The sequence below is a fragment of the Homo sapiens genome, chromosome 7, assembly GCF_000001405.40.
Source record: "Homo sapiens chromosome 7, GRCh38.p14 Primary Assembly".
Classification (NCBI taxonomy): domain Eukaryota; kingdom Metazoa; phylum Chordata; class Mammalia; order Primates; family Hominidae; genus Homo; species Homo sapiens.
The window spans coordinates 79,308,084-79,325,310 of NC_000007.14; the positions used below are offsets into that span (position 1 = coordinate 79,308,084).

General features: G+C 36.5%; 1 protein-coding gene and 1 pseudogene across 12 annotated transcripts in view; both read right to left on the reverse strand.

Annotated features, from left to right (window-relative positions):
* Positions 1 to 17,227, reverse strand: part of MAGI2 (membrane associated guanylate kinase, WW and PDZ domain containing 2) — a 1,436,613-nt gene that overhangs the window by 1,291,029 nt on the left and 128,357 nt on the right. The gene's annotated exons all lie outside the window — the stretch shown is intronic.
* Positions 16,089 to 16,189, reverse strand: LOC124901823 (uncharacterized; annotated as a pseudogene).

Below are 17,227 nucleotides of genomic sequence, written 5' to 3' on the forward strand. Positions count from 1 at the left end.
ACTTCAGGATGGCATGTGAAATAAAATTATATTACTATATTTATTGAATGCTGTGTGTATGAAAAACAGTGTTTAGCATTATAAAATCATATTGAAATGATTTTAATAGATAATAGACAAACTGTTATATTTCATGAAGACATTGTCATGGAAATATTGACGTTGCCAACACACGTAGCTCAATATTCCCACTGCTCTTATGAAATAGATTCTGCTCTTTCTCTCTGAACACCAACATGCGTTCTCAGTACAGAGACAGGTCACTCAAAACAGAAGGTGTATAGCTTCTCTTGGAGTTTTCCCAGGACAGTGCCCTCTGGTGCAATCTTTGGCTATGGAAGCATGAGCGAGTTCAATAGTGCAATAAACATTCTTCCCTTCCTCCACATCAGTGGCCCAAATACTAATTTGTCCAAGAAATTGCCTGCTGGTGCTGTAATTTCAACTCCCTCTTCAACTGGCAGAAAGGTATTCATGTCCACAAACAAATAAAAGAACAAGGACATATCTATTGAGACAGCTGAACACTAAACCTCTAATTGCTTAAAGTAATTTGGAAACATTTCTGGAATCATAATACCAAGAAGAACATGCCTTAAAGAAATTATTAAGTAAATAAGGACAATTTGAATTATTTCTACCTGATCTCATTTCTATTGGGCATTTACTAAGTATGTGAAGAATAACTCTCAAAGGCTAGGCAAGCCAGCTGTAAAGTAATAATCATTTCTTTTCTTAAGAAAATAAGGGTTAAATTAAATCAGAAAATAGTAGAAACAGCAATGAGAATAAAATGCTTTAGAATATTTATGAGAATTTCCTAGAATACTAATAACCTCAAAATTAATTCAAAGTTGAACATTTTTTTAAACTTTACCCTGATTAAAAAATAAAATTTTTCACTGACAAAGAAAAATAAAGCCTCAGTTAAAATTATTTCATTCCCACCTATCCTCTTTGTTCTCTCTTCTACCTTTAAAATTACTGAAGTTTATATCCCCAAATATATATAATATTTGCGGTACAATTTCCTTGCAATAATCACTTTCATTTTGTAGACTTTTTATGCTGTCTAGCTTAATTCAATTCTAATGCATTTCTCTTTTACCTAACAGTCTCAATATGTGTGATATAAACTCTGATTATCCCAGAGATTATAACATGCAGGATGGAAGAAGAATAAAAGGCAATACATATAGATAAATCTTTCAAGATTTGTGTTGGACGAGGAAACTAGTTTAGAGATTTTGTTTTTGTTTCTGTTTTGGCTACACTTTCCTTAAATTTCCTAAGGTGATATTATATATATTATATCTATATATAATATAGATATGATTTAGAGTTGTGCTTTTACGTTAAAATATGTAGAGTTATTCCATTCAATTTTCTGCTATTGAATATTTCTTAAAGACTCAGCATACATACTAGCATGAGACATACACTTCTTTTATTGGAAAACTTCAGTGAGAACACTGAAGGAGAACAGTGTTCAGAAGAACGCTGAACAATCTAGTAAAAAATTAGTTTCACTAGACACGGTATATAATCTGTCTATAAGTATTTAGCTTGCATACTGCTGTGATGGCATGATTAAAATATGACATAAAATTCAACTTATCAGATCTTTCATCGTTTATGATGTTTATCTAATATCTAGAAAAAAATCCCTTATGTATACTTGTGTTCATCACTGTGAAGATAATGTTACTTTAGTCCCTCTCAAATGCAATCAGGGAAGACTATGATTAGAAAAGTATCTCCATCAGGTCAGGCGCAGTGGCTCACACCTGTAATCCCAGCACTTTGTGAGGCCGAGGCAGGTGGATCATCTGAGATCAGGAGTTCAAGACCAGCCTGGACAACATAGGGAAACCTTGTTTTTCCTAAAAAAAAAAAAAAAGAAAAGAAAAGAAAGAAAGAATGGAAAAAAAATTAGCTGAGTGTGGTAGTGCACTCCTGTAATCCCAGCTACTTGGAGGCTGAGGCAGAAGAATTGCTTGAACCCGAGAGGTGGAGGTTGCAACAAGCCGAGATCGTGCTACTGCACTCAAGCCTGGGAGACAGAGGAGAGTCCATCTCAAAAAAAAAAAAAAAAAAAAAAAAAAAAAAAAAGAGAGAGAGAGAGAAATATCTCCATCAGTGTTAAATATTCGAATGCATTTTTGTGTACAAAATTATCTGCTATGTACAGATGAAAGTATTCTAAAGATACAGCAATCCATGGAGGGATGAAAGAACATAAGGCATTTATTATTGAAGCAACCAAAAGAGGGAAAGGGAAGTGGTGTTCAAAATTTAGTGTGCATCAGAATCACCAGGAAAGCTTGCTAAACATTCAAATTACTGAACTCTCCTACCTGGAAATAATTTGATATGCCTGGGATCCAGAGATCTGCATTTTAACAAATACTCCAGGAATTTCTGATGTATTTAATTTGGGGACCAAGCTTTCAGCCTAAGAAGGGTAATAAACTAAATTATTGGGTAAGTATTAAAGAGGGAGTTAGTGAAGCAGAGAACAGATGGGAAGGAAGTCATTAGCAATAAAGCCGGTGATCTTGTTTCCTATTTCACTGGAATAAGGGAAGCAACCAGAAAAGAATTCCCAAACATTCCACAGAACATATATCTATTCATTTGTACCTGTGACCCCATATCAAGTAAAATTTATCACTATGAGCAAATTGTGACCCTAGTTGAGACCAATCACTTCAACTGACCAGCAGAACCCATTCTCTCATCTACTGAAGATTCCAGAAATTCTTGCCTTTCTACAGCAGTACTACATTTACCTCTTTGTTCTCTGATCATTATCACATTAAGAAGTATTCCCATATTTCTCTCACTTTAAAACACACACACATGCACACACACACACACACACCCCTCTCCATTTCACTCTCCTCTTCAGTTGTCCTAGTTTTATTTATCTCTTTACAATAAAACCACCCCCAACAAATTGTTTCTGATCACTATTTTCAATTTTCCTACTTCCATATTTTCCTGGCCTCTCTCCAATCAGAATTTTCCCTTTTCCATCAAAACTGCTCATAAAAGATCACCAATTACCCCTATGTTGCTAAAACCAATGATCAATTCTGAGTTCCCATCTCACATGGTCTAATACTGGTATTTGAATTAGGTCATGCCTCTAAATCAGGTGTGTCCGATCTTTTGGCTTCCCTGGGCCACCTTGGAAGAAGAATTGTCTTGGGTCACACATAAAATACACTAACACTAATAATAGCTGATGAGCTAAACATAAATCACCAAAAAATTCTCATAGCGTTTTAAGAAAATTTATGAATTTGTGTTGTGCTGCATTCAAAGTCGTCCTGGGCTGCATGCGGGCTGTGGGCCATGGGTTGAACAAGCCTGCTCCAGATTCAATATCCCCCTCACTTGACTTCCAGGACATCAGAATAGCATTCCTCCGTAGGCTTCTTTGCTTCTTATCTTCCCATCCCTTTCCTTCTCCTCCCACCACCTGCCCCTATTTCCCTTCACTGCTTTATTTGATGTTTCATCAGTTCTCATAACTTTACGTACCATCTACAAGCAGATGATTCCCAAATGTACTCCAGCCAGACCATTTCTCATTAATGTCAGGTTCATATTCCCACAGTTATTGAATGTTCAATAAACACCTCAAATTTAACATTATCAAAAACAATATTGTAACCACTTGCTCTCTTCTCTACTAATGTACACTTACAGAGCCTTTCCCATCTCAGTAAAAGGCAACTCTATACCGCAAGCTACTTAGACAAAAAATCTTGAAGTCATTCTTGCCTTCTCTCTTTTTGTCATATTTCATATCTGGTTCGTTAGCAAATCCTTTGTCCCTATTTTTAAAATTTGTATATCCAGAATATCACCTCTTACTGCCTCTATTGCTAACATCCCAGTCTAAACCTCTCATATTTTTCTCCTGAGGCAACTGGAGTGATTCTATTTAATACACATTAAGGTCATGTCACTCATCTGTTCAAAACCCTAAGATCCCCATCTCACTCAGAGTAAAAGCCAAACCTTTATAATGCCCTTCAATGGAAATTTTTGTCAAGTAAATTCAATTCAAGCTATGATAAGTCAAGTCGAAGCATGTCAATCAATCCAAGCTGAGACAATTCTAGTCATGTCATGTCAGGACACAAGTTAAGACAAGACAGGTCATGTCAAGTCCTAGATGATCTCCCCACCCACTATTACTCTTTGATCTGTTTCCCTCCAATTCTTCGTCTCAGTAGGCGCCAACAACACTGGCCTCCATGCTATTCCAGAACTCCCCAATCATGATCTTTGCTAGTGCTGTTCTATGTGAAATGCTTCCCCTGGGAACCTTTATTACTTGCCCACTTACTGATTTTCCATCTTTACTCAAATGTCACCCCTTCAATCAGTCTTGCTTGTCTATTCTATGTAATACCGCAACGTAGCCTCACCAACACAGTCTGGCTTCTGTTTCTCATTTTTTGGCTTTGAATTCATAACTAATAACATAGAATTTACTTATTCCTCTTGTTTATTGTCTATAATTCCTCTCTCTCTCTCTCAAAATACAAAGTACCTAAATTTTTGTCTCACTTATTAACTACTGTGCTCCAGAGAAGTGCTTGGCACAAAGTGTGCATACAAAAAATAGTTCTTGAAAGATGGATGAATGGCATGAAGAGCACTGTCAAAACCTAAGTATTGGGATCTCCTCGAATCTGGATAAAAATCTTAGCTAATTCTTATCAGAAGGTGAAATGGCAGCTGATGGTGCAGTAACAATAAAGATGCAGTTGCACCGTACAGGCACCCTCCTCCCCCTCCACCCACCGCCTTCTTCCCTTTAGCTTGTATGCAACACTATCTAGTCCTTTGTAAATGAACATTTCTAAATACCTGGGGAGAGTTTTGGTGAAGTCAACATTTTTTATTACATGGAATATTTTCTAAATAATACATTTTAAACATGTAAGAGAAAATTCAATCAATTATAGACTTCCTCCTTTTCCCTCTCCCTACTTTAAAGATTGTTTTAGGTAAAACTATATGGCTCACAGAATATATTTGGGGCTTATCAGGACACAGGAATACTACTACTAAAATTATTATTTCTTGTAAGCCTTTGTAAGCTTGATGTGGCAATGCAAAAAATACACAAAAACCAGGCAAACTTTATTTTCTGAAGCATCAACTCCAGTTATAATTAGATTTCCAAAATTGGTTTTAATAAAATTAGGGCTGGGCCCATATCTGCAGGCTCTCTCCTTGTTCACAGCTATATGTCCAGGATCTAACAGAGTGCTTGATAAATAGAACTCTTCCTGTTTCTTACTGTCTCAATCTCTCTCTTCTCCCTCCCGCCCTTCTTCCTCCCCTCTCCCTCTCTCTCTCTCTGAGAGAAAGAATAACGGAATTAAATTGAATGATTAATCTCCAACTATACATGATACAATCGATTCAATTTTGGCATTGTTGCCTTAAAGGGTATCATTTAGGCCAACTTAAACTCAAACAAGATACAAAAGATTACAAAAACCAGGATAAAGATAATAAGGAGAGCCAATTCTATTTGTTCGTTTATAAAAGCCCATGTTAAGAGAACTGTTAGCCTTACTTTTATTTTTGAAATTCTTCAAATCAACCTACTAATAAGATAAATGTTCATACTTTGTTCTACTCATTGTGCTAGCCAATTTAGATACATTATTTACATTATTTAATTTACTTTTTTTTTTTTTTTTTTAAGATGGAGTCTCACTCTGTCATCCAGGCTGGAATGCAGTGGCCCTATCTCAGTTAACTGCAATCTCCACCTCCTGGGTTCAAGTGATTCTTCTGCCTCAGCCTCCTGAGTAGCTGAGACTACAGGAACACACCACCACATCCTGCTAATTTTTGTATTTATTTTATTTTTAGATGGAGTCTTGCTCTTGTTGCCCAGGCTGGAATGCAGTGACGCAATCTTGGCTCACTGCAACCTCTGCCTCCTAGGTTCAAGTGATTCTCCTGCCTCAGCCTCCAGAGTAGTTGGGATTACAGGTGCCCACCACCATGCCCAGCTAATTTTTATATTTTTAGTAGAGACGGGGTTTCATCATGTTGGCCATGCTGGTCTGAAACTCCTGACTTCAAGTGATCTGCCCGCCTTGGCCTCCCAAAATGCTGGGATTATGGGCATGAGCCACCCTTCTTGGCCTTATTTTAGTATTTTTGTAGAGACGGGGTTTCACCATGTTGGCCATGCTGGTCTCAAACTCCTGACCTCAAGTGATCCACCTGCCTTGGCCTCCCAAAGTGCTGAGATTACGGGAATAAGCCACCGTGCCTGGCCTATTTATTTTACTTTAAAGAGAAGTCCTATGACCTGGAAATTTCTCTGACCCATATAATTCAAACTGCTTATCAGAAGTCTATATATGTCACACGCATTAAGCCCTGTAGAGTCATGGAATATTATCCTTGAGACAGATTTTAGTGGATTTTCATTGTTTCATTTTTTTCTTAAGAAACATTACTCTTTCCTGCTAAATGCATTGCAGTCTTCCTCCTGAGGATCAATTTTTCTCACACTCCTAGTCCTTGGTCTTCTGATGAGATAGTTCTAAGTCAACCAACATGGCTCATTTTCCTGAGTATAGTGAGAGGTTTAGAGATGTACATGTGACCAATCAAACTACATAAGATAAACTGTGACTTTTATTGGGACATAGAAAAAGAAAATTTTGCTGTTCTCTTATGCACTCAAATCAGAAAAGTTTTAGCTATGGGACCTCTTGGTAGAATTTTGGAGCCAGGTAGAGAGAAGTGCCCTAAAATGAAACTCAGATAAGGAAATGAAATGTACATGAACAAACTGGGCTCTAATTATATCACTGGAAATTTAAACAAAGCCTAGCCAATCCCTGGACTGCTCTCTTATGTGACATAATAAATCACTTATTGTTTAGGCTGGTTTGAGCTGGATTTTCTATCACATGCAATGCAAAGTTTACTAAGTGATACAAAATTCTTCACATTTGCAACTCTACGAATATCATTTTAAAAATGCGATTTTGTTCATAACAGTAGTATAAACTAGATTTAACTCTTTTTTTTTTTTTTAAGGTGAAGTCTCGCTGTTTTCCAAGCTAGAGTGCAGTGGCATGATCTCGGCTCACTGCAACCTACACCTCTTGGGTTCAAGCAATTCTCCTGCCTCAGCCTCCAGAGTAGCTGGGATTACAGGCATGTGCAACCATGCCCAGTTAATTTTTTTTTTTTTTTTTTTTTGTATTTTTAGTAGAGACGGGGTTTCACCACATTGGCCAGGTTGGTCTTGAACTCCTGACCTCAGGTGATCCACCCGCCTCAGCCCTCCAAAGTGTTAGGATTATAGGTGTGAGCCACTGTGCCCAGCCTAATTCGTTTTTTTTAAAGTAATGATCTGACCCACCAAATTTCCACCAGTAGATATTCAACGTTAGATAATTTGGTGGGTAAAATTTGGATGCATGTTTACAAGTTCAAATGATATGACAACGTACCACAGCTGTATCATAAATCCTGTATCTATTTCTTAATTTGAAGCAGCATTCAAGTATAAGCAGGATGCCCACAGGAATGTATTGAGGCTGGGGGAGGGAAAGGAGATATTGTTAATGGTGGTAGAGCATAAAGTCCAGTAACTCTGGGCAAAAGCAGAGAGATGAAAAGAGGAGGCAGGAATGGAGTCAAGACTGGGTGGAGACCTGAGATGAGGAGACAAAGTTGAAATTTGACAGGGAACTGTGATTTTTGCTATGGGCAAAAGATATGTAGTAGAGTTTCTAAAATGAAGGAGGAGTGGGAAAGGAGCTAAGTTGGACCATTCCAGTGTAGGAGGCAGGTCAAGGCTGAGAAGCTACTAAATAGTTACATGGCCCTGGGCAAGTTATTTAACTCCTGTGAGCCTTGATTTCCTCAACCATAAAATGAGAATCATAACACTCAGCACACAGGGTAATTGTGAGGATTAAATGTAAATATAACGTAAGCCTCAAAATTCAAAAAGGATGGGGGGCCAGGTCAAGGCTGAGAAGGAAGAGACTTGAGGGCAATGTATGGTAGTTAGATGGATGTCTCCTACTTTGACTTTTGGCAAATTCTTCCCATCTTTTCAATGTCTTTCTCTTATTTCATCATCATTTCAAACTTTAATTTCTACCACCACCACCCCCCCACTCCAAGTTACTCTTTGTTTTTCTCTGTCACTTTCAAATAAATGATATTTTATAGAATAGGAATAACAACACCAGTATTAATATTTAAATAGTGCATCCTAGTTTATAAAATAGTTTCATATCCACAGTTTCATGTCGCCCACTGAAAAATATATGCTATTTTATATATATACACACACATATATGTGCACATGTATATGTATACATATGTATATATTCATACGCACATACATATGCATTTCTGTATTTGAAGAAACTTTTTAGCTTTGTTCTTACAAAGAAGCTAAGTTTGTCAGTATTTTTTCAGTCTTGAGAAGATTTTGATTTTCTTATTCGGAAGGTCAATAACCTTGATTCATTTTCTTATCCTGTCCCTCCATCCTCTTCTAATTTTGAGACTAATGTTGTATCAGACCAATTCCGTCTCTTTTAACAGAATTATGGGTTACACAGTAAGGAAAGAAGGTAACTAACATTTATTAAGTGCAAATTATGTGGTGGGCACTCTGCAAAGTCCTTTATATCCACATTTAATCCTCACAGTTATCCTGTGTGGTGAGTCTTATGATTCTCATTTTATGGATGAGGAAATCAAGGCTCACGGAAGTTAAATAACTTGCCCAGGGCCAGGTAGCTATTTAGTAGCAGAGCTGGATCCAGGAGCCCATGTTCTTTCTACTATAATAAATTACATTTCTAAGTTAATGTAGAAAAAAAAATGTAGGGTTTTTTTTTTTCTTTTTCTTTTTTTTTTTTTTTTTTTTGAGGCAGAGTTTCTCTCTTGTTGCCCAGGCTGGAGTGCAATGGCATGATCTCGGCTCACTGCAACTTCTGCCTCCCCGGTTCAAGCTATTCTCCTGTCTCAGCCTCCTGAGTAGCTAGGATTACAGGCATGTGCCACTAATCCCGGCTAATTTTTTGTATTTTTAGTAGAGACGGGTTTTCACCTTATTGGTCAGGCTGGTCTTGAACGCCTGACCTCAGGTGATCTGCCTGCCTCGGCCTCCCAAAGTGTTGGGATTACAGGCATGAGCCTGCACGCCCAGCCAAACTGTAGCTTTTAGAAAGGCTTCTGATTTCCCCTCATATGTTATTGTCAAAAATTGAGATGCCAAACTGAAGTCAGAGTATATAATGCACTGACTGTCCAATAGAATACACTGAGCCACAAATGCAAGCCAAAGGTGCATTTCGTAAAAATCTTAGTAACGTGTTCCAAAATAAAAACATACAGGTGAAGTTAATATTAATAATACCTTATATTTCATCAGGGATATCAAAGTAATCATTTCAACATGTAATCGATATAAAAATTTCAATGGATTCTTTACATTCTATTTTTTCATACTGAGTCTTTGAAATCCAGTATAAATGTTACACTCACAGCCCAATTCACGCAAGCTACATTTGAAGTGCTCAATAGCTATATGGCCACTGGCTCTCATACTGGACAGCACAGGTGTATATAGGCCTTAATAGACCCAATACTGCCTCATTTCCTTCGCTTGCCATGAAGGCTTCTTGGGGAGTACTGTGAACTCAATGACTCATCCTCCTTTGCATTTGTTTACTTAACTGGAATGTGCCTGGTTTCAGCCAGCAGCATGTCAGTTCAGTTAAGATGACACATTTTCTCCTGGCTTCCTAATTCTCCAGCTTTTGCTGTACTTAACCTCTTTGCTGCTCTTTGACCAGTATTGATCACTCCCTCTGCCTCAAAACTCTTCCCTCTGGATTTCTGTGAATTCACTCCATCTCCATGATTCTACTTAGACTCCTCCCCTCTTACACCGAAAAGGTAGCCCACAGCCACCTTCTTTTTGCTCTCTTTTCTGGGATTGCTAAACTTCACCTATCATCTATACACTGAGGAAAGCAAAATCAAATGCCCTCCAGACCTTTGACATAAAATCACCTCTATATATTCAGGTGCCAAAAGTTCATTTGGATACATAGTTAAAACATCATTTATAAAATGTCAACACCACAACACACACCACTTCATATTAATCATCAGTAGGTTGAGGAAACATTTATTTTCTTAAAAAAAGGTGCTGGCCAAGTGGGTTATAATTTATTTGTCTCATTAAGTAAATTGAAAAAATTAAGAAAAGGAAAGCCATAAAAAACACAATGTAAGTTGATTGATAGATAAATGGAATAAAATTCCTTTTGTGGAATTACATCTGTCTCAAAGTGAAATAATGGCCATCCTTTTGAATTCTATATTTTCTGTAAGTTTGACTACTATCAGCAATACTACCATCCAAGGAATGTGACAATAAATTCTGAATAACTATACTTATCAAATTTTTACTCCGACCTAATATATTAGGCATGTGTTAAAAACTGCAGAGTGAAGAAAACAAATACAACAGAGTATTTATGGATTCTCTTGTACTACGTATTAGTTTTCAGACTCCTTTAGTATAATATTTGCTTTTGCACAGGAAACAAAGACCATTTCTCACACGACGTTGAAAAAATAATTAAACAAATTTGCTGTAGTTTTTCTCTTTTTCCAGTAAGTTTTCCTTCCATCTTTAATTCTACTTACCATCAGTTCAAGCACACTACTGCTGCTCATGGGGTACACTCTCTCTGTATATGAATTACAGTAAGAGAGCTGGGTCATCATCATTTCCCCATATCCCATTAAGTATTTGCATTATAAATATGCATTAAATAGACTTTTTTGCTTGGGAGCTGCTATTCGCAACCTCTTTTTTGCCACTGTATCTCAGATTTACTATATGAAAGGGTTCTTAAAGCGAGATGTGAATCTATTGGTATCTCAGCGTCTGCAGTCAATCTCTGATTTTTGAGGCTAGTTTTAGAATATTTATTCAACTTTCTTTCCTGACTTTCCTGCATTTGACTATCTACCCTCAGTTTACAGACAGGTAAGTTTGGGATGTTTGCCACCATTTTTCCTTCATACACATCCAGACTCATAAAGTCACCTAGAAAGAGGACACTAACACATACAAATGCTTGAGTGAATATAGTGCAGTGTAATGCAATAAACACCCTGTAATTTCTATGGCATGACTATTTCAGATGCTTGCTTTTCATGCTAATTGTCTTTCAATATCCAGTTTTACTTCTTCTTTAGTAATAGAATCCTGGACAATGTGTTCTGCTAAGAAGCTCCCAGCCTCACCTTCATAGTTGGCTATGGTCATGTAACTAAGTCTGGCCAATCACATTTAAGCAGAAGTATGTATGTGTCTATGGGAAATTCTTAAAAGGGAGTAGCGAGCACAGCCTTGAATGTTGACATAATAGGTGGAACTCTAGTCATCATCTCAACCCTTGAATTTGGAAAGCCCAAGCTAAGAATGACAAAGCAGAAAATATGAGCCATGATAACATAGTTAAGTGGTCATAGGAGGCCTGTACAGCCTACTTATGAATTCCTTTTCTGTTAGGGACAAATAAACTTCTACCATCTTAAAACTAATTTTATTTTGCTCTTCCTGTTAAATGAAGTCCCATCTAAGCCTAACTGGTACACACACCATAAATGGCTTCCTGAAACCTAGCGGTGCCAGATTTCAAGGAGATAGACATGATTGACCCACGTTTCCCAGGAAGATTCATAATCATAATGTTTTCATCACCTAAAATTTAGTCTCAAGTGTTATTTGTTAGTATTATATTTGCCTGTGTACTTTGCAAAGGGCATGACTGACTACTTGACTGCATTTTCAAATGCATAGGTTAAGTAACAGAATTGATTGGTGTTTTTCCTTCTTTGTGCTACTGAGGAAATTCAGTGGTATGTCTTGGACATTCCTGGTGCTGACTGTTACATATTCTAAATGATTATCAGATCACAATCCCAGTAATTATTTAATAAATCTGTATTTCTTATTGCTTTAGAGAGTAAAAGAATGTTACTTTATAGTACTATGATTTCCCATATATACAAAAAATCCCTGATATACAAATAACACACACACACAAAGAATACACATAATTGCTATATTTTTAATAAAATATATGGGATCTAGCAATATTTGAGAGCAATTCTAAAATCAAAGTCGCAAAGAAAGCAATATATTAAAAATCCATGTAGAATTATTAATCTAATTTTCTACAACCATAGTTTTTAAGACAATTTTCTGTGGTATGAATATTTCTCCAATTTGCCCTTCATAGGTGTAACATATGAATGTTTAAAAGTTGTTTTATAAGGTGTTGAAATTTGTATTTTAGATTTCTTGTGTGACCAATTTATCATATTTGTTTATATCTACAGCCATATATATGTTTTAAGTAATCTTGAGAAACTTCAATAATCAATGATTATTCTTTCAAGTTAAGTTAAAACAAATTAGGTCATAGAACAATAGATGGAGCTAATGCCTGTTTTAAAACAGTAGCATTTTTGCATAGATATTTTGGAAGCTGACTTGGATCTATTGCTTTATTTATTCTTTATTTTTTTAATTTCAAATGTTGCAGGCCAAATATCATGTATCCATATGTTGATGACTTCTTACACATCACAAAATAGGGAACTATGCACATCAAAGCCAAAGTTACTGCTGGATTCATGTAATAAGTTACTACAGACCCAAGGCATTTCAAAATTGAAGAAAACCCACTAAAAATTCTTTCTTGTGGGTTTCAAAGTTCTTATAACAAAAACTGCTTTGAAACATGCTGGGAGAAGGACTGAAATACCACACACATAACCTGTTCAGAATTGTATACTGTGGGCAGATTACCAACTGCTGTGAGTATATTTACTGGGAGTCATTATTGAATTTCTGTCATTAGATGGACATAATTTGGATAACAATATGCAGTACTATGGTCCTTTTTACATTTGCATTACTAAAGCTGTTCATTTATTTGTAGTAAGTGAGATGTTTTATATTCACTTAATAACACTGTTAATAAGTGAAAATAGATTTACAATTTAACAGATACATTTACATTTTACTAATTTTTCATTTCATAGCAAGAACCTACTTTCAATGTTTGACCACTAGGGCCTTGGTTTTTCAAAGAAAATTACAAAAAGAAATGTGACCTGTAAATTTATTAACTTTTTTTAGTGCTTTGACATAATTTAATATTCAATCTTTAGACATAGCCATATATCCATGTTCCTTAAAAGTAAAAGATGAGGTCGTCTAATATTTAATAAAACTTGCTGATTCCCTCAAGTAGATCCAACCACGTTAACATTCTCACAGAACACGTTGGAAAGTAGTGTCTACTGACAAAAGATAAAATAGGACAAAAAGGCAGTGCTTCCATAACAGAACACCTTATGTGAGAGAACAAATTTTTTTCTTTCTATAAATTTGTTTGCTTTCAGTTAAGAGCCTGGGTACCATGGTGATTATATAATAGGAACATGTACCAAATTAGCTACAATGCTTATTAGTTGTCCTTTTTCAATAAGTGTTGTTGGAGACTAGAACAAAGTGATATAACTGAAAACTCACAAGAAAAATACAATCTGTAAGAATGAACTAGAGAGCTAACATTTCCTGAATGCCTACTATGTGCTAGCCAGTGGACTAGGCAATGACCTACATTTCTCATTTAAGTTACTATTGTTGGAAATAGTGTGCCCAATTATCAGTGGAGACTGACTTTAATCTCTTAGGTGGCTCTAATGTGGTTACTGAGTCTCACAGCCTTACTCGAATGCAAGTCCTTGATCAGAGAGCAATGGGATGAGATTATGAATTTTCAAAACAGTGGCAATAAAAGCCTGAAGAAGTCTGCAGAGGGGACCTAGAGTACCTATTTTAGTTCATAGTCATTTAGTAATTTTTTTCAATAGAAAAAAAATTAAAGGCATAGAAGCATTTACCTTCTTCATAGCAGCATAAAAAAGTAGCTGGTTCAAATCATCCTCATTTAGAGAACAAGGACCTTTGAGATCACTCAGTCCATAGTTTTCCAATTTTGCAAATAATTAAAGTAAGGTACAGAGAGATTACAAGAATCACATAATTGTTAGTTATAGAGACAAGAGCAAAAACCAGCTTCCATGTTTTCCCTCTTGTCAATGTCCTGAAGTGCCACTAGTCACCTAGAAACATTGATCTATTGACTTTAAATCTTCAGAAAGCCAGTGTAGCAGAAGTTAGGAGTCCAGACTCTGAAGCCAGACTGTCTAGGTCCAAATGCAACTGTTGCCACTGTGTGATCTTGGGCAAGCTATTTAAACTCCCTGTCAAGCAATTGTCTCATCAGATTGCCACAATAATGAAAAAAAAAAATTAGGGCTTAGCACTTTGGGAGGCCAAGGTGGGCAGATCACCTGAGGTCGGGAGTTTGAGACCAGCCTGGTCAACATGGTGAAACCCGTCTCTACTAAAAATACAAAAATTAGCCGGGCCATAGTTGTGCACGCCTGTAGTCCCAGCTACTCAGCAGACTGAGGCATGAGAATCGCTTGAACCCGGGAGGCAGAGGTTGCGGTGAGCTGAGATCATGCCACTGTCATTCTGGGTGAGAAAGTGAGACTGTCTCAAAAAAAAAAAAAAGAAAAAGAAAAAGAAAAAGAAGTCCTATGTGGATGAAATGACTTTATATTTGTTAAACACTTAAAATTGTGCATTAAGTGTTACCAATTGATTTTTGCCCAGGTTGGAGTGCAGTTCAGGCTGGAGCCTCTAACTCCTAGGCTCAAGTTATTCTCCCACCTCAGCTTCCCAAGTAGCTGGGACTGCACGCATGCACCATTACTCCTCAGCTTATTTTTAATTTTTGTAGTGACAGGGTCTCACTATGTTGTACATGCTAGTCTCAAACTCTTGGGCTCAAGCAATCCTCCCACCTCGGCCTCCCAAAGTGCTGGGATTGAGCCACTGTGCCTGGCCCCAGTTAGCTTTTAAATGACGTCCTCCTTCATTCACTTACACAACAACAATTTTGAGCTCCTACTGTATACCAAGTATTGAGGGCACAAGTATGAAGAACAGGACCACATCCTCCCCTCTCCTCAATGAACTTACAGTCAAATGGAAGATAAAAATAAGTAATCAGACATTCAGATTGCATGATATTCTATGACAAGGTGGTAGAAAATGATACTAGAATATCTAGGGGAAATAATTAACCCAAATTTGAGACTTCAGGAGCAATGTCTTACAGAAAGCACCTAGAAGTATGGAGCAGTTTAATGTGAGAGGCGAGGGCAGAGTGTTCTAGTTAGGGCCGGCAGTGGGTGTGAAGACCAGCTGGAATGATCGTGGATCTGGAGAGACCAGTTGTGGATTGTGAGAGTGGAAAGAAAGGAGACAAGAGTGGTGAGTAGAGTCCAGAGAGGAGTTTATGAGCCGCATGGCAGAAATTAAAACATTCAGAAAGAAATGGAGAGCCCCTGAAGGATATAAATGGGAAAATGATACAAACTTTGCATTTTAGAAAACTCACGTAAGCTAGGGTAGGAAAAAGGGGTTAGAAGTGGGTAAGATGGAGGCAAGGAAACTCAAAAGCCAATTGGTACAGTTTCAGGTGAGAAATGATGAATGACCAGACAGCTCAAAGGTGTATATGGGAGCCTTGTTTTCTAATGGAGCACATGTGATAATCCCTGGACAGCAAGAGAATACCTGGGGTAGACCTAAGCTTTCCCTTAGTGAAGAGGCCTCTGCTTAACACCACCATGTGGATCAGTTTTAAACACAAGAATGGGGCATCTAGCCTCCTGGGGATGCTCCTGGGAAGCTAGAGACAAACTACCTGGACTCTGATACCTTGAGATTAGATTCTGGCTCCACTACTTCCTCTGGTATGTGATTTAGGGCAAATCCTCTTACAGCAAAGCACTGTTATTATTTCATATTTAAAAAGGAGATAATAGTACCTATTTTATAGTGCTAAACGAAACAATGCATGTAAAGATCTTTTTCAATTTTTCAAATTTTTATTATTTTCTCTTCTATTTTTATTTAATTACAAGGGTCATGCTAATCTCTGTTTTGTTCCAATTTTAGTGTATGTGCTGCTGAAGCTAGCACTATGTAAGGTCTGTGCCTAGCATGTATTAAATATTCAATAAAACTTAGGTCTTACATTAAATGTTTCAATTTATGTATGTATGTATGTGTGTGTATGTATATATATACAGTGTGTATGTATATATATATACACACAACGTATCTATCTATAACCATATATATATAACCATATATATATGGTTATAGATAGATACGTTGTGTGTGTATATATACATATATATACATATATACACATATAACCATATATATACACCATATATATATAACCATATATATACATATATACACATATAACCATATATATACACCATATATATATAACAATATATATATAAAAAATATATATAATATATATATTATATATATATAAAATATATATATATTATATATATATAAAATATATATATATTATATATATATAAAATATATATATATTATATATGTATATAAAATATATATATATTATATATATATATATATAGTTTTCAGGATGTCAAGTTTCCAAAGCAGTGATCCTCATTTTTAAAAAAGTCAGGGAAAACCTTAGCATCTTCAGGTTACAAGTCTACTCGTCCTTCAGAGTACAACAAAATGCCTTTTCAGTATACAAAGAAACAAACAAAAGAAATTCCACTCAGGATAACTTATATAAAATAGGAAAATTTGCATTTTTCAGCTCTTCCCACATTCGCACATTATTTCCATCATAACCTCTTAAATATTTTCTTGTATCTAAGGTGTAGCTTGGTCTATAAGATGAGAGACAAATAACTAAATGTATTATTACTCTTATTTTCCCTTCCTAATTACAAAACATAAATACGTCCTGGGAATCTTCAGCAACTTCAGATGCTAAGCAGTCTCTCTGCCTCCAGTAACTTCTAGCAGGATGCTGTCCATCCAACATCCTTGACCATCCTTTCTACAACATAGACTTTAGCATGCCACTGTCGCCCAGCCCCTAACCCTCCACTCCCACCATCTTACCAGTCCCTAAACATAAACTGTGTGTTATCGTAACCCTCCCTTTGCTCATGC